Source organism: Homo sapiens, chromosome 16 (assembly GCF_000001405.40).
Source record: "Homo sapiens chromosome 16, GRCh38.p14 Primary Assembly".
NCBI classification, from domain to species: Eukaryota; Metazoa; Chordata; class Mammalia; order Primates; family Hominidae; genus Homo; species Homo sapiens.
The window spans coordinates 88,998,354-89,016,082 of NC_000016.10; the positions used below are offsets into that span (position 1 = coordinate 88,998,354).

General features: G+C 59.9%; 6 annotated features.

Annotated features, from left to right (window-relative positions):
- Positions 2,651-3,211: an enhancer, noted in NCBI's record as "H3K27ac-H3K4me1 hESC enhancer chr16:89067412-89067972 (GRCh37/hg19 assembly coordinates)". NCBI's record gives its function as "activates a minimal SCP1, AML or CMV promoter by ChIP-STARR-seq in naive H9 embryonic stem cells {active_cell/tissue: H9 hESC(naive)}" and the evidence as "EXISTENCE:reporter gene assay evidence [ECO:0000049][PMID:30033119]".
- Positions 5,808-6,102: an enhancer, noted in NCBI's record as "tiled region #15211; K562 Activating DNase unmatched - State 1:Tss". NCBI's record gives its function as "activates a minimal TATA promoter and a strong SV40 promoter by Sharpr-MPRA in K562 cells {active_cell/tissue: K562}" and the evidence as "EXISTENCE:reporter gene assay evidence [ECO:0000049][PMID:27701403]".
- Positions 5,889-6,033: an enhancer, noted in NCBI's record as "145 bp enhancer 137 fragment used in the MPRA reporter construct; PK_construct_4171". NCBI's record gives its function as "activates an SV40 promoter by MPRA in K562 cells {active_cell/tissue: K562}" and the evidence as "EXISTENCE:reporter gene assay evidence [ECO:0000049][PMID:23512712]".
- Positions 5,953-5,970: a transcriptional cis regulatory region, noted in NCBI's record as "GATA motif; MPRA enhancer 137 activity is reduced when this motif is scrambled". NCBI's record gives its function as "necessary for full MPRA enhancer 137 activity {active_cell/tissue: K562}" and the evidence as "EXISTENCE:site-directed mutagenesis evidence [ECO:0005528][PMID:23512712]".
- Positions 6,081-6,310: an enhancer, noted in NCBI's record as "active region_11386". NCBI's record gives its function as "activates an Ori minimal core promoter by ATAC-STARR-seq in GM12878 lymphoblastoid cells {active_cell/tissue: GM12878}" and the evidence as "EXISTENCE:reporter gene assay evidence [ECO:0000049][PMID:35858748]".
- Positions 6,341-6,410: an enhancer, noted in NCBI's record as "active region_11387". NCBI's record gives its function as "activates an Ori minimal core promoter by ATAC-STARR-seq in GM12878 lymphoblastoid cells {active_cell/tissue: GM12878}" and the evidence as "EXISTENCE:reporter gene assay evidence [ECO:0000049][PMID:35858748]".

The window sequence follows — 17,729 nt, forward strand, 5'->3', positions numbered from 1 at the left end:
GTTCCCAGCTACTTGGGAGGCCAAGGTGGGAGGATCAGCTGAGCCTGAAAGGTCGAGGCCACAGTGAGCTGTGGTCATGTGACTCCAACGTGGGTGGCAGAACAAGATCCTATATGAAAACAAATAAATAAATAAATCCCAGTCCTCACCCCAAAAGAAGTGTGCTCAACTGCTTAACAAAAAAATGTGATCACAATGGGTGAACAGACAGGGCTTCACATAAAACAATGAAACAAATAGAAATCCTAGAACTAAAAAGTATAATACCTGAAATAAAAAATTCACTGGGCCAGGCACGGTGGCTCACACCTGTAATCCCAGCACTTTGGGAGGCCGGGCGTGGTGGCTCACACCTGTAATCCCAGCACTTTGGGAGGCTGGGCGTGGCGGCACACACTTGGAATCCCAGCACTTTGGGAGGCCGGGCACGGCGGCTCACACCTGGAATCCCAGCACTTTGGGAGGCTGGGCAAGATGGCGCACACCTGGAATCCCAGCATTTTGGGAGGTCAGGCACAGTGGCTCACACCTGAAATCCCAGCACTTTGGGAGGCTGGGCAAGGTGGCTCACACCTGTAATCCCAGCACTTTGGGAGGCCGGGCACGGCGGTGCACACTTGGAATCCCAGCACTTTAGGAGGTCGGGCGTGGTGGCTCACACCTGTAATCCCAGCACTTTGGGAGGTCAGGCGCGGTGGCTCACATCTGGAATCACACCTGTAATCCACTGCACTCTAGCCTGGGAGATGCAGTGAGACCCTGTCTCAAAACAAAACAAAGCTAATTAGACTGGATAGGCTTAACAGCATATTGCAATGATAGAAGAAAAGATCAATGAACTTGAAGACAGAGCAGTGGTAATCATCTAAAGAACAGAAATTTTAAAAACACTAAAAAAGAGAGGCAGAGCCAAGTCACAGAACAATGTGAAATTGCCAACTCCACGTGTAATTGGAGTCTCCAAATGGGAGGAGAGAGAGATTGGAGCTCAAATACATTATTTAGAGAAATAATGGCCCAAACTTCCCTGGACGTAGTGAAAAGCATCAATTTATAGACCCAAGAAGTTCAGCTAACTTCAAACAGGATAAATAGAAACACATCTGTAGGCACAGCACAGTCAAACTGCTGAAAACTGACGAAAATGTGGAAGAAGCCGGAGAAGAGGGTGGCCAGAAGTGCCAAATGCTGCTGCCTCCTCATCAAAAACCAGAGGGCGGAGGGCGGAGGGCGGGGGGGGGCGGAGGGAGGAGGGCGGAGGGAGGAGGGCAGAGGGCGGGGGGCGGGACAGAGGGAGGAGGGAGGAGGTAGGAGGGCGGAGGGAGGGGGCGGGGGGCAGAGGGCGGAGGGAGGGGGCGGGGCAGAGGGAGGAGGGGGGGGCGGGGCAGAGGGAGGAGGGAGGAGGGCGGAGGGAGGGGGCGGGGCAGAGGGAGGAGGGAGGAGGGAGGAGGGCGGAGGGCGGAGGGCGGGGGGGCGGGGCAGAGGGAGGAGGGCGGAGGGCGGGGGGCGGGGGGCGGAGGGCAGAGGAGTGAAAACAATGAGCCGCCCCCACCGCTCTGAATCCAGCAGGAAATCCTCAGAGTGAAGGTGAAGGTGAAATAAAAGCGCTCTGAAGTAAATGAAACTGAGAACATTTGCCGTCCTAAGAGCCGCATGACAAAAACATGCTAAAGCTGCGTAATCTGCACAAGATAAGGAACTCACTGACGGGCAGGGTGGCGACAGCCCATGTGCGACCGTGCAGGTGAACAAGGCGCCTGTCCTCTCCTCGTCATCTCTTTTAAAGGGCAAATCTGCAGGCGTGTGTGTCCAGCATCATGAGCTTCGTGGGGTCTGAGTCATAGAACGTGTGAGGACAGGAGCGTGAGGCGTGGGCGTGGGGAGGGAACCGCACTGCTGCAAGGGGCTTGGGTTTCTCATCAAACGGCGCCACATCTTCAGATGTCTCTGGAAGCCGAATTGAGACTGGATTTGGGTGTGTGAAGATGTTTAGGACCAGCACGTGTGAAGGGAAGCAGGCAGGGCTGACGTGTGGTGCAGGCCCCACGGGGCCGTGTGACCCCACGGGCAGCTCTGGTGCACTAGGGGCCCATCCGGCTGGCACTGTGGGAAGACCTGCACAGCCCAGCCTTCATCGGTCACTAGACTCCATCTTTCCGGGAAGGACAGGGCCGTGGGAAAGGTGACCCTGAAGGAACAGACGGGGTACCCTGTGCTTCTAGGAGCAATCTGAGCAGCACCAACCTTGAAAGCGGACTCCAGGCAGACCGCGCCGTCTGTCTTCTCTCTTGCTGCCACGTGTCCGCCATCCCTCCAGATGGACCAGTCCCCAGACGTTCCCTGCACCCACACACACCTCCGTCCCTGGGCTGGGGCCTCTCCCATGCCCGGGGCTTCCTCCGCTGCCCCCTCCTCTGTCTGTGCCCCCTCCTCCTCCAACCCGGAATCGCTCAAGGCCGCTAGAGTGACCCACGCTGTGCCTCCTGTGTGGCCCAGTGGTGCTGCAGCCTCATCGCGATGTCGGAGGTGACCCCACGCCCACTGCTTCCTTGTGGGGAATGGAGCCTCCGCACCTGCAGGGAGTGGGGAGGGGCCCTTTCCAGCCTCGACCTTTCTCCTTCTAACGAGGAGCCACATGGGTGCTCTGCCAGCTTCCAGCACCTCCTGTTCTTCAGAGAGAATTCTGGAAAATAACAATTCCTGACCAACATGCAGCCCCCACGAATACTCAGAGTCCCAGTTTTTAAAGCCACCTTAGCCGCCTCCATCCAGCTTCTGCCCTGGTGTGGCCTCTGGTCAGCACTCACTGTCTATGAAGAAGACAGAGAACTGGGCCTGCCCATCCCCCAGGGGTGGGCTCCATACTCTATTTGGCCTGGATCACTGGGGAGAGGATGCGTGGGTCAGGCGGGCTGGGATTGCTGTTGGGCGGCAAGACCCTCCACTCGACACAGCCACGGCTTCCGTGTGAGTCGGGCAAGTCCTCCATGTGGTGACTCAGGGATCCAGGCTGCAGGCTGCTGAGATCTGAAGCCACAGCTTCTGCATCTCCAGGGAGGAGGAGGAGTGCTGACAGCACGGCCGGGAGATGTGGGGGCCAAGTGTGCTTGGGGAGCACCATGCTGCCCGGCTGCCACGAGTTTCCTGGGCTCAGCACCCTGGGAGCCTCCTGTGCTCGGCTCCCGACAACCCTAAGCTGCTGGCACTCCACCTCATTCCTGCGCTGGGGGAAATTCCTGCGGGTGGAGGCTCCAGGCTCCCGGCTGCAGACTCGGAGTGGATTGAGTCCTGCCATCTGCCCAAGAGGGGTCACAGCCAGGTGGGGGTCCGTGTGTGTCCTCTGGCTGAGTATCAAAGCACCAACACTCTGGGGGCCATGACAGTGGAAGTTGGGGCTCTCACAGCCTGCAGCGGTGAGCTGACATCAAGGTGCGGGCAGCGCTGGCTTCCTCTGAAGGCGCTGGGAGCCCTTCCCGCCTCATCCAGCTCCCGGGGCTCCCTGGCTCGTGGCCCTCACTCCCATCTCTGCCTCTGTCCGCACGCAGCTGCCTTCCCTGCGCATCTGACTCCATCCTCCTTCTCTTCTAAGGGTACTGGCCGTTGGATTTAGGGCCCACCCTACCCAGGACGATGTCATCTCAAGATCCTTCACTTAAGTTTTCCTGCAAAGACCCTTTTTCTGAATAAGGTTACATTTCCAGGCTCTGGGTTTTAGGATGTGTCCACTGGCAACATGAAACTGGGGAGCTGGGGGGACAGAGGAGCTGGGGAGACAGAGGAACTGGGGGGACAGAGGAGCTGGGGGGACAGAGGAGCCTGGGGGACCCAGGAGCCGGAGGGACAGAGGAACCGGGGGGACAGAGCAGCCGGAGGGACGCAGGAGCCGGAGGGACAGAGGAGCCGGGGGGACAGAGGAGCCGGAGCCGGGGGGACAGAAGAGCTGGGGGGACAGAGGAACCGGGGGGACAGAGGAGCCGGAGGGACGCAGGAGCCGGAGGGACAGAGGAGCCGGGGGGACAGAGGAGCCGGGAGTACAGAGGAGCCGGGGGGACAGAGGAGCCGGGAGTACAGAGGAGCCGGGGGGACAGAGGAGCCGGAGCCGGGGGGACAGAAGAGCTGGGGGGACAGAGGAACCGGGGGGACAGAAGAGCTGGGGGGACGGAGGAGCCGGGGGGACGGAGGAGCCGGGAGGACAGAGGAGCCGGGGGGACAGAAGAGCTGGGGGGACAGAGGAACCGGGGGGACAGAGGAGCCGGGAGGACAGAGGAGCCGGGCGGACAGAGGAGCCGGGAGGACAGAGGAGCCGGGGGGACAGAGGAGCCGGAGCCAGGGGGACAGAAGAGCTGGGGGGACAGAGGAACCGGGGGGACAGAGGAGCCGGGGGGACAGAGGAGCCGGAGCCGGGGGGACAGAAGAGCTGGGGGGACAGAGGAACCGGGGGGACAGAGGAGCCGGGGGGACAGAGGAGCCGGAGGGACGCAGGAGCCGGAGGGACAGAGGAACTGGGGGGACAGAGGAGCCGGGAGGACAGAGGAGCCGGGGGGACAGAGGAGCTGGGGGGACAGAGGAGCCGGAGCCGGGGGGACAGAAGAGCTGGGGGGACAGAGGAGCCGGGGGGACAGAGGAGCCGGAGCCGGGGGGACAGAAGACCCGGGGGGACAGAGGAGCCGGAGGGACGCAGGAGCCGGGGGGACAGAGGAGCCGGAGCCGGGGGGACAGAAGACCTGGGGGGACAGAGGAGCCGGAGGGACGCAGGAGCTGGGGGGACATAGGAGCCGGGGGGACAGAGGAGCCGGAGCCGGGGGGACAGAGGAGCCGGGGGGACAGAAGAGCTGGGGGGACAGAGGAGCCGGGGGGACACAGGAGCCGGGGGGACAGAGGAGCCGGGGGGACAGAAGAGCTGGGGGGACAGAGGAGCCAGGCTCAGTGGGGGTCAGGGTGTAGGCTCCAGCCCCTCTGCCCATCCCATCTGCTTTGCCAGCCCCAGTTTCGCTGAATTGTCTCATGAGCGTGTTCTGACCCCTGCCTCACAGGAGGGGCGGCACGGCAAGGCGGTGGATGGGCCAGGCCCCGGGTCAGCTCGGCCTCGGCGAGGCTGAGCAGGTCACGTGCCACCTCCATCCTGCGTTCTGCTTTCCATCACGAGCTACAGCAGGAGCAAGGTGGCCGTGACCGAGAACCCCTTGGAACCCCAGTTTCGTTGTCTGAGAGGAAGATAACTGCATCTCTCGCAGGATCAGGTGGCAGCAGAAGAGACGGTGGACGCACTCAAAACCATCCCGTTCCTCGACTGGGGCGGGCTGTGTTGTGCACACCCGGCCCGGCCCCACACCCAGGCCCCACACCCAGGCCCCACCATCAGGGGCACCCAGCTGGCATTTGGAGTGGAGCCCTCAGAGGGGGCTGGGCTGGGACTGGGATCCCGGGGGAGAAGCGAGGAGAGCCTGCATGGGAGCAGCAGAGGCTGCCCAGGGAGGCTGTGGGGCTTGGATCTGGATCTGGAGGGGAGAATCACTGGGGAGCACCCCCCCACCCCCCAACCCGGCAACGGCAGCCAGGAAGGGCTGGAAGCAGACGGGAACGAAAGCAGGAGATGGAAGATAGGAGAAGATAGGAGAAGAGAGCAGATGAGGCCGGGACCGAGGGGGAGAGGCTGCGGTGGGGAAAGGAGGTGCTGGGGAGAAGGGAAGCCCAGACCGCTACCCCTCACCCCCTTTTCCCCAGCCTGGCCGAGGGGCAGGGGCCGCAGGAAGATGTAAGCGACCAACAGCCTTGCCTTGTTGCAAAGAAAATATTCCCTGAAAGACATTAAAATGAAGTAAATAAAAGAGATAAAAATGGAAATATCAAGGCAGCAACTTCTCTTCTGATTACAAAGCAGGCAGCGGGAAGCAGCGGGAGCCCATGAGGACGCAGCTGCACAGCCGGGCGGGCCTGATAAGGCCTCGTAGCCTGCGCGGGCGAGATAAAGCCAGCACGCGCCTGTCCTCAATCCCGGCCGCCATCAACATGCAGACAGCCTGAGCGACTGGCATTCCAGATAGAATAAGCACGCACGGCCGCGCTATTACTGAGACCTTATTAATCCGCCTGCAGGCGTTTAAATGCCGTGGGAAATATGGAGTTTACCAGCGCAGCTGACGGGGACTTGACACTTCATCACGTTGTTCCCTCTCAGCCTCTCTCCTTGGCCATCGTCTCTGGGCCCCAAGTTTCAGTTGGAAGGGAAGTTTTCAGGTGCAGGTGGAGGGGCCAGGAGGAGGGGGCCTCCAAGCACCTGGTGAGTGGGGAATCCCATGGGGTCACACCCCTCCGGGGAGCTGTCCCTGAGGTCTGGGTGGAGAGGCCGAGTGGCGGCAGTCTACCGCGTGTGCGCAGCCTGGCGACATCTCACCGTTTTAAGTCCTTGATGCGCTGGGTTCCCAGTTTGAATTTGATCTTTTTTTTTTTTTGCAACTGCAATTGCTGCCTGGCCTCCTGCGCTTTTTGTCATGGGGGGGTCTCCCAGTCCTGAGCATAGAGGCAGGCGGAGCAGAGGAGGGTCAGACCCTGGGGAGATCTCCTCTCATCACAGAACAGGCAGGACTAGAGCCCACTGGTCTCCACCTTCAGGTAACTGACCCCACCTCAGACCCCAGCTGGGAGCAGACAGAGAGTTTATTGATTGATTGGTTTTTATTTTTATTTTTATTGAGACAGAGTTTTGCTCTGTCACCCAGGCTGGAGTGCAGTGGTGCAATCTCGGCTCACTGCAAAGTCTTCCTCCCAGGTTCAAATGATTCTCCTGCCTCAGCCTCCTGAGTAGCTGGGATTACAGGTGCACGCCACCACACCCAGCTAGTTTTTGTATTTTAGTAGAGATGGGGTTTTGCCATCAAAAGTTGGTCAGGCTACTTTTGAACTCCTGACCTCAAGTGATCCTCCTGTCCCAGCCGAGTTCTATCTTTTCTGTCGTTGCGGTGTCGGCCCAGCTGGCAGAGACAAGTGCTGAACACACGACCACATAAACAACTTTGCTCCTGCGGGGAAGGAGGTGAGCTGGTGCCGGAGCCGCCTCAGGGCCCTGTGAGGAGGAGGCCATTCCTGCTGAGGCTGGGTCAGCCAGGCCGCCACTCTGCCTGCGTCCTCCATGGCTGCAATGCCCTCCATGGGAAGCCCAGGCCACCGGGTCTGGCCTCCTTTCTGGTCTGGGCTTGCTCTGCTCATGGCCTCACATGAGCTGCAGGCCCCCTGGAGCCCTCTTCCTCCAGACGTCCTTGCAGCCCGCCCACCTCCTTCAAGGCCTTGCTCAACTGCCACCTCCCCAGAGAGGACTCTGGGACCAGCCCCTCCCTTTAATGCACTCCTCCTTGCCCACACATAGGAGCAGGTGCCACGGGAGCGGGTGCCAGGAGAGCAAATGCCACAGGACCAGGTGCCACGAGAGTGGGTGCCATGGGAGCAGGTGCCAGGAGAGCAAATGCCACGGGTCCGGGTGCCACGAGAGTGGGTGCCACGGGAGCAGGCACGTGTGTCCACTTCCTCCCCCACTCCTTCCTCAGGCTGAAAACAGCAAGTGGAGTATGGCAGGCATCGCTCCAGGGCTGTCAGGAGCAGTGGGGTTGGATGCAGGGGTGGGCTGGGAGGTGGGATGCTGAGGCAATCGGGGGCTGGGCCAGTCAGAGGTGAGTACAGGGGAGGGACCTCCAGGCAGAGGGACTGGCTTGAGCAAAGGCTTCGAGGTGGAGGTTTTAGGTGGGTGAGGAGCAGAAGGCCAACGCGGGTGGCTGAGGAGAGGGCAAGGAAGAAGAGGCAGGAGTCCACCGCCAGTGCCAACCAGGGGCCTCGGGGCACCGCTCCAGGAGCAACCCCAGAGTGCATCCACCTCCTCCCGGGTGGGCCACGCCTTGAGGTGCTGACGGCGCCCCAAACTCCACTCCCCGGAATCGGCCCAGGCTCAGCCACATCGGCCCGGGCTCCTACAGAAGCCGACCTGGAGACGAGGAACTGACCTGGAGACGAGGAACTGACCTGGAGACAAGGAACTGACTGCAAGTGGACCATTTGCAGGGCGACCCCAAGGGCAGGGGAGTGAGATGGGAGGGCAAGATCCCCGAAGAAGTAGGCGCCATCAGCCAGTCACTGCTGAGGGGAGTGGCACCTCCTCCAGGTGGGGGTCTCTGGGGAACGCGTGGAGCACAGCTCAGAGCTGCCCCAGGGCTGGGAGTGAGCTATGTGCACACCGGCTCCCTCCAGCCACCAGACAGATGCTCCCTGCTTGGGGCTGCTGCGTGGTCACAGGCTCCAGCAGCCAAACAGAGGTGGGACCTGGCTGGTGGGCACCCCTCTCCCCTCCCTCCCTCTCCATCTCTTCCCCACTCCCCTCCCTCCTCCTCCATCTCCTCCCCCTCCCCTCCCTCCCCCTCTATCTCTTCCCCACTCCCCTCCCTCCTCCTCCATCTCCTCCCCCTCCCCTCCCTCCCCCTCTATCTCCTCCCCACTCCCCTCCCTCTGCCTCCATCTCCCCCCTCCCCTCCCTCCCCCTCCATCTCTTCCCCACTCCCCTCCCTATCCCTCCATCTCCTCCCGCTCCTCTACCTCCCCCTCCATCCCCTCCCCCTCCCACTCCCCTCCATCTCCTCCCCACTCCCCTCTTCTCCCTCCATCTCCTCCCCACTCCCCTCTCCCTCCATCTCCTCCCCACTCCCCTCCATCTCCTCCCCACTCCCCTCTTCTCCCTCCATCTCCTCCCCACTCCCCTCCCTCCTTTGCCCTCTCGCTCCCCACTCCCCTCTTCTCCCTCCATCTCCTTCCCACTCCCCTCCATCTCCTCCCCACTCCCCTCTTCTCCCTCCATCTTCTCCCCACTCCCCTCTTCTCCCTCCATCTCCTCCCCACTCCCCTCTTCTCCCTCCATCTCCTCCCACTCCCCTCTTCTCCCTCCATCTCCTCCCCACTCCCCCCTCCCCTTCCATCACTTTTCCTTTGCCTTCTTCTGGTCCCAGAAGGCCGGCAGGAGAAGCCTCATTTCCTCCTACCTGGGTAGATACAAGCATGTTTAAAAGAAAACAGGCACAAATGAGAAAAACTTCAGAACACCACGGGGCAGAAGAAAACCTGACTTCCTACTCCTGTGGCTGAGAAGGCCTCTGGCCCCGTCTCTCAGGACAGACCACTGCTGTTGGGGGACAGTGGCCAGCTCCTCCTTGTGGCTGTCTCTGGCTGCCCCTGGTCCATATCACCTCCAGTGCTGTACTTTCTCTCCCCAGAGGCGGGTCTATGTGGGTACCTGGCCTTATTCATGAGCAAATGCCATGGCCCCCGGGGGGCAAGAGCTTGTGGTGAGCAGGATTGTTCTCTGCAGATATTAGTGATCATTAGCAATCATTAATTAGAATGATAAATAAATGATTGACGGTGACAGTGGGAAGGTCTCTCTTGGGAGTGGGTTCCCAGTGGACACAGGGGACTTGGCTGAGCCATCTACCTCACCCTCACATGGGATCAGAGGCTCTGACACCCACCTGGGCTGCCCAGAGGCTGGTTCTGTGAGACCCACCTCATGCACAGGATGAGGCTCCGATGGAGAGGCAGCCCGGGGTTCTGGTGTGTAAAGGACTGCAGGGAGTCCAGGTCTCCAGAGTGGGTCAGTGTCCACCATCCACCTCATCTTTGCCAGGAGAACCCATGACACACCCACCTCATCTTTGCAGGAGGACCCTGACACACCCACCTCATCTGTGCCAGGAGGACCCGTGACACACCCACCTCATCTTTGCCAGGAGGACCCAGACACACCCTCCTCGTCTTTGCAGGAGGACCCTGACACACCCACCTCATCTTTGCCAGGAGGACCCTGACACACCCACCTCATCTTTGCCAGGAGGACCCCTGACACACCCACCTCATCTTTGTCAGGAGCACCCGTGACACACCCACCTCATCTTTGCCAGGAGGACCCTGACACACCCACCTCATCTTTGCCAGGAGGACCCCTGACACACCCACCTCATCTTTGTCAGGAGCACCCGTGACACACCCACCTCATCTTTGCCAGGAGGACCCTGACACACCCACCTCATCTGTGCCAGGAGGACCCGTGACACACCCACCTCATCTTTGCAGGAGGACCCTGACACACCCACCTCATCTTTGCCAGGAGGACCCCGACACACCCACCTCATCTTTGCCAGGAGGACCCTGACACACCCACCTCTTTGCAGGAGAACCCTGACACACCCACCTCATCTTTGCCAGGAGGACCCGTGACACACCCACCTCATCTTTGCCAGGAGGACCCGTGACACACCCACCTCATCTTTGCAGGAGAACCCTGACACACCCACCTCATCTTTGCCAGGAGGACCCCTGACACACCCACCTCATCTTTGTCAGGAGCACCCGTGACACACCCACCTCATCTTTTCCAGGAGGACCCTGACACACCCACCTCATCTGTGCCAGGAGGACCCGTGACACACCCACCTCATCTTTGCAGGAGGACCCTGACACACCCACCTCATCTTTGCAGGAGGACCCTGACACACCCACCTCATCTTTGCCAGGAGGACCCGTGACACACCCACCTCATCTTTGCCAGGAGGACCCGTGACACACCCACCTCATCTGTGCCAGGAGGACCCTGACACACCCACCTCATCTTTGCAGGAGAACCCTGACACACCCACCTCATCTTTGCCAGGAGGACCCTGACACACCCACCTCATCTTTGCAGGAGGACCCTGACACACCCACCTCATCTTTGCCAGGAGGACCCTGACACACCCACCTCATCTTTGCAGGAGGACCCTGACACACCCACCTCATCTTTGCCAGGAGGACGCTGACACACCCACCTCATCTTTGCAGGAGGACCCTGACACACCCACCTCATCTTTGCCAGGAGGACCCTGACACACCCACCTCATCTTTGCAGGAGGACCCTGACACACCCACCTCATCTGTGCCAGGAGGACCCTGACACACCCACCTCATCTTTGCAGGAGGACCCATGACACCTGGCCTTGGGTTGAACTCCTTGCTCCTCTTTTCCTCGGGACCCTGAGTGAGTCATATCCTACTCTGAGGTCCACATCTGTCAAGTGGGGACCGCCGTGCTGACCTCACGGGCCGCGACACGGGTTAGAGACAGGGTGTGGGTGTGTCCAGCTCACAGCCCTGTCGCACTGGGCGGGTCTGCCCAGGGAATGGACAGGTGTACCTGCAGGCTGTGGGGTGGAGTCTCCACATGGCTGTGACAGGTCTGGGGAAGTTCTTAGAGGGCAGCTCCTCTGTCCATGGTGCTGAACCCTCATCTTGCGGGGAAACATCACTTTCCCCCACTCCTGAGCCCCACGAATGAGCCAGGTGGAAGGAAAAAGGTGTTGGGAGAAAAGGAAAGGCAGAGAAAGGGAAAAGAATCAGGAAGAGAGAGGGAGAGAGAAAGAGAAAGAGGTGAAGAGAGAGAGAAAGGGAGGCCAAAGAGAGCAAGGGAGAGAGGAGGCAGGTGGTCTGAGAAGCCAATGAGGGCACCTCCTCAAGACAGGACAGAGAGCAGCTTTTGTTTTGACATCATTGTTCTGACATCACCCTCTCTAAGGAGCACGTTTCCCTGTGGTTATTTCCCACCTTCCTCCTTCCCAAGGGTTCCACCTGTGGGTCCCTGGGCAGGTCTGTGTATGAGCAGAGCTGCCATTTATGTGCATGCGACGTATGGATAGAGAAGTGTGTGTGCACATGGACATCACACGTGCACCCATGCACAAGCCTGCACACACGCACCCATGTACACACACACAAGAACTCACACAACTTGGAATGTGCTACAGGGAGGTGACCACGCACAGCTGGGCATCTGGTTAAGTGACCTTTGCTGTTGTCCAGCGCTGGAGATGAAGCCACAGTGGACAGTGGGGAGGGAGCTGTCTGTAGAGTGGGCGGAGGACAAGCTGCAGCCCTAAGGTTGTCCAGCGCTGGAGATGAGGCCATGATGGGCAGTGGGGAGGGAGTTGTCTGTAGAGTGGGGGCGAGGACCACGGTGGGCAGTGGGGAGGGAGCTGTCTGTAGAGTTGGGGTGAGGACCACAGTGCGTGGGCTGGACCCTCTCAAGGGCAGGCTCCAGGTGTCCTGGCAGCTGTGCCTGTGGCCTTGGCAATGGGGGTGTCCTGCAGAAACTGGACTCATCACAGAGCTGGACACACCCCAGGCCCTGCACTCAGAAAAGCCAAAGGAGGGTCAGGCCACTGGGTCATAGGAGCAGACCCTGCCACAGCCACACAGCAACCAGCAACTCTGCAGATCAGGGACAACACGAGAACTATGAGGGGGGGCCACCTCCCCACCGGACTCTTCGAGTCTCCCATGCAGAAACGGAGCTGAGTCCAGCCTGGGTGACCCAGGACAGAGCCACTGCAGTGAAGGGGCAGCAGGAACCGGCTCTGGGCAGCCAGCTGTGGTTTGCAGTTGGTTCCTCTTAGGTCAGGTCTACGTCCCGCCTGTGAGCCCCGCTGTCCTTGTCCTTGGAACTTACCTAAGGGTCCTTGGAAGAAACTGCCAGACCTCCTCCTCTCAACCCCTTCTGGCTGCATATGAAACTTCTCACTGTTTCTTCTGACTCCAGAGAAGCACAGAAAGTTTACTAATCTGGGAAGTTAAGCCTCTACTTTGCCCTCATGGATGTGTGCCATCGACCCATCCACCCATCCACACACTTATTCACCCACCATCCATCCACCCACCCACCTACCCACGCTTTATCCATCCACCCATTCATCCACCCATCTATCCATCTATCCATCCACCCACCCACGCACTCACCCACCCATCTATCCATCCACCGACCCACGCACTCATCCACCCATCTATCCATCCACCGACCCACGCACTCATCCACCCATCTATCCATCCACCCACCCACGCACTCATCCACCCATCTATCCATCTATCCATCCACCCACCCACGCACTCACCCACCCATCTATCCATCCACCGACCCACGCACTCATCCACCCATCTATCCATCCACCCACCCACACACTCACCCACCCATCTATCCATCCACCGACCCACGCACTCACCCACCCATCTATCCATCCACCCACCCACGCACTCATCCACCCATATATCCATCCACCCACCCACGCACTCACCCACCCATCTATCCATCCACCCACCCAAGCACTCATCCACCCATCTATCCATCCACCCACCCACACACTCACCCACCCATCTATCCATCCACCCACCCACACACTCATCCACCCATCTATCCATCCACCCACACACGCACACACCCACCCATCTATCCATCCACCCACCCACGCACTCACCCACCCATCTATCCATCCACCCACCCACGCACTCATCCACCCATCTATCCATCCACCCACCCACGCACTCATCCACCCATCTATCCATCCACCCACCCACGCACACATCCACCCATCTATCCATCCACCCACCCACACACTCATCCACTCATCTATCCATCCACTCACCCACACACTCATCCACCATCTATCCATCCACCCACCCACGCACTCATCCACCCATCTATCCATCCACCCACCCAAGCACTCATCCACCCATCTATCCATCCACCCACCCATGCACTCATCCACCCATCTATCCATCCACCCACACGTGCACCTATCCACCCATCTATCCATCCACCCACCCATGCACTCATCCACCCATCTATCCATCCACCCACCCATGCACTCATCCACCCATCTATCTCTCCACCCACACATGCACCTATCCACCTATCCATCCATCTACCTATTCACCCACCCATCCATCCATCTGCCTATTCACCCACTCTTCTGCCCACCCACTCATCCATCCATCCATCCATCCATCCACCCCACCCATCATGCGTTCATCCATTCATCCACCCACCCATTCATCCACCCGTTCATCTATCCATCTGTCCACTCATCCTCCATCCACCCCACCCACCACCCATCCACCCATTCACCCACCCATCCATTCATCTGCCCATCCACTCATCAATCTGTCCACTCACCCACCCATCCACCCATCCATCTATCCATCCGTCCACCCATTCTCCATCCACCCCATCCACCATCCATCCACCCATTCACCCACCCATCCATCCATCTGCTTATTCACTCACTCCTCCACCCACCCACTCATCCACCCATCCATCCATCCATCCATCCATCCATCCATCCATGCATCCATCCACCCACCCATCCATTCATCTGCCCATCCACCCATCTATCTATCTGCCCACTCACACACCCACCCACCCACCATCCATCCACCCATCCATCTATCCATCCATTCACTCACCCATTCCTCCACCCACCCACCCTTCCATGCACCCACCCACCCTTCCATGCACCCACCCACCCATTCATCCACCTGTCCATCCATGCACAGGTATTTGCTGAGCTGGTGCCACATGCACTGGCACTTTGCTAGCCTTTGGGAAGCACAACAGTAAAACACAGGTCATGTTTACCTCAAGTTTCCAATCTATTGTGAAGCTGCAGGCAGAGGCGAACTCATCTTGGGGGCTTGCAGGACACAATCCCATGAGGTAGAGAAGTAAATCAGGCAGAGGTGAACGCATCTTGGGGGCTGCAGGAAGTAAAAACATTAGCACCTGGGTTTGTGTGTCTTTTCATCCCATCTCATTCTTTATGTGACTCCTTCTGTATACCAGTTTTACAGTGCAGGGGGGTGCTCAGGCACGTCTCTCTGTTTAGGGGCTGCAAGGAAGTGAGCCACTGGGTGGCTGAGCCACGTAAACAAGAAGAGGAGTAACAATCTAAACTGAAAGGGCTTGTGGCTGGGTCACAGTCTGCAGGAGAAGGGAGGGTTCATCCGGGTCTTGGATGAATTTGTTGGATGGGAAGTTGGTGAAGAACATTCCGTGGGCAGGACAGGTGCAGCCAGCAGGGGTGGAGAATGAGAAGACACTCAGGGCATGGAGTTTTGGAGCTGGGGCTGCAGGAGGCGGGGACAGAGGCACTGTCGATGGGTATGGCTTTGATGCTGGTTCGCAGGCAGCCTGAATTCCACCTGGTCGATATCAGAAGCTGCTGAAGGAGGATGAGGGCATCTGGCCTCAGCCATGAGACTGATTGAAGCTCTGTGGGGACCAGGAGGAAGTGGGGGCTGAAGCTGCTGGGCAGGGGGTTGGGGGAGATCTGGCTGAGTCTGAAAGGTAAGGTGCTGTTCGCAGTGGCAGGTGTGTCATTAACTTGCTGTGGAACCAAACACCCAGATCTCAGTGGCTTCAAACAACAGCAATGTGCCATTCTCCTGGGCTGACAGTTGGGGATGGCAGCTGGCGCCCCTCGGGTCTCCTACAGGCAGCCGGCAGCTCCTTCCATGGGGTTCTCTGGGCGGCTGCGCGAGGGCAGAGGTGGAGGCCACGCAGCCTCTTAGGGCAGGACACCACTTCCACCACGTTCTGTGGGTCAAAGCAAATCAGACGCCCACCCAGGCTCAGGAGGGGGACCTCCACCTCTTCATGGGAATTTCAGCAAATCCCTGTGGTCGCAGCGCCGGGGGCCCAGTGTCTCCCGAGTGCGTCCACATGTGTGCTGAATGCAGGCTGTGGAGTGCAGGGGAGAGAGGTGAGCGCCTGGGCGGGTGAGCGGGGAGAGGTGAGCACCTGGGCGGGTGTGCAGGCAGAGAAAGAGTGAGGAAGGTCCACCTTCAGCTGGAGCTGAGGACAGGGCTGCATTTGGGGAGGAAAAGGGGCCAGATGGGAGTTCTGTGCCAGGCTGGGGTTCGGGTCAGGAAGGCTTCTCCACAGAGCGGCGTGATCACATCTGGATCTGGCAGGAGTGGGGAAGGACAGTCAGGAGTCGATGGGGAGATGGGACTGGGTGGGGGCAGCAAGGATGGAAGGTGGGGAGACAGACGCTGTGGAGGCCCAAGGGGACTCTGGCTGGTGAACGAGGACACCCCCAGGCTCTAGGCCCCCACCCCAGGGCGGAGAACCCCCACTTCCCAGGTCCCGAGGGAGCCCTGTCTCACTTCTCCGCTGAGGCCAAGGCTCGTTTCCAAAGAGGAGAGGAAGAGGGGAGGGGAGGGGAGGGGAAGGGAAGGGAGGGGAAGAGAAGGGAGGGGAGGGGAGGGGAGGGCAGGGGAGAGGAGGGGAGGGGAGGTGAGGGATGTTCAGATCAAGAGCCCCACTGGGGAGAGCTTTAAAAAATGCAATTAAATGGAAAATAATTAAATCCAATTAAAAATGAGCAGTGGGGGGTGGGGAGTGGGGGGATGCTGGGACTGCAGGGAAGGCTTGGGCTGCCCTGTGCAGTCTGCAGTCTTCCTGATTGCACTTTCGAGGTGGAAAAAGGAGGCCAGACCTGGCCCCCAACACTGTGGGAGCGCCCAGTGGCTGCAAAGCCGGGGCCACCAGGCCACGCTCTCCTGGGACCTGCCCCGCTGGACCGGGGACGTCTGTCACCGCTTCTTTCCCAGCCGCTCTCTCCCACCTGCTGGGGCTCCCCAGGGCCCCAGGCCCCCTTTGGAACACCCAGTCTTGCTCTCCTCCAGTCAAGCCACATTCCATGAGAGCACCTGAAGGGGATTGGCTAGGGGCCGCCTCGAGACCCTCTGGCGTGGAAACCGTCAGCTGGTGAGCACATGGGCCAGCCGGGGTGTTTGTTACATGTGCATTTCCTGACCCCGCCCAGTCTGGCTGGATGGATCCTGGGCATCTGAATTTATGTGAAGCCCAGGTGGGTCAGGTGGCAGTCAGGTGGCTCAGGTCACACCTGGAGACCCCATCTAGTGCCGCCCCCTCTTTACAGAGCATTGCCTGGGGCCCTCCTTGCTGAGCTGAGGGACGGCCCAGGCTGCATCCCCCCGCCAGGAGGTGGCCTCTGCTGGGTCCTGGAGAGCTGGTTCCCGAGCTAAGGCCAGAGGTGCTGCTGAGGGGTCTTTGCCTAGGCCACTAGCAGGGGCTGGATGAGGAGGGGGGCCACGGCTTTGGCGGCTGGTGCCTGACCTTGGCAGAAGGACCAGGAGGGGGACGGCGGCTTTGGCGGCTGGTGCCTGACCTCGGCAGGAGGACGAGGAGGGGGATGGCGGCTTTGGTGGCTGGTGCCTGACCTCAGCAGCAGCCTTCCCCGATGGGCTTCTGGGAACTTGCTGCCTCCTCCCTGGGCTCCCAGCTGCTTCCCTCCCCTGCAGCACCCCTCTCAGATCTGCCACGGCTGTATGCAGGTGGCTTCACCCCTGGGCTGGGAGCTGGAGGAGGCAGACCTAACAGGCGGTGGGCCCAGCCCAGCAGACATAGCCGCTGCTCACAGCAAGGAGTGCAGGGACCTCAGCAAGGCTGGCTGCCAAGGTGGAACCACTCTGCCGAGGCTCCCTGCACCCTGCACGAGGCTCCCCACACCCTGCCCAGGGCTCCCTGCACCCTGCACCCTGCCCGGGGTTCCCTGCACCCTGCACCCTGCCCGAGGCTCCCCGCACCCTGCCCGAGGCTCCTGCACCCTGCCCGAGGCCCCCTGCACCCTGCCCGGGGCTGGCATCCCACACTCTGCACAACAAACGCCTGGTCCTGGGGCACGGGGGCTGTGGGGAGGCGAACTCCACGCAGGAGCAGGGGGCTGAGGAGGGCCTGTCTGCCCCAATTAACACTCCAGGATCATCGCTGAGCAGAAACCCCATTCTTGGAGGTAGGGCCTAGAGAGGCCTAGAGAAGACATCATTTTTAATTTAAAAAAATGTAAATGTTAAATAGGGAAGACATGCCTATA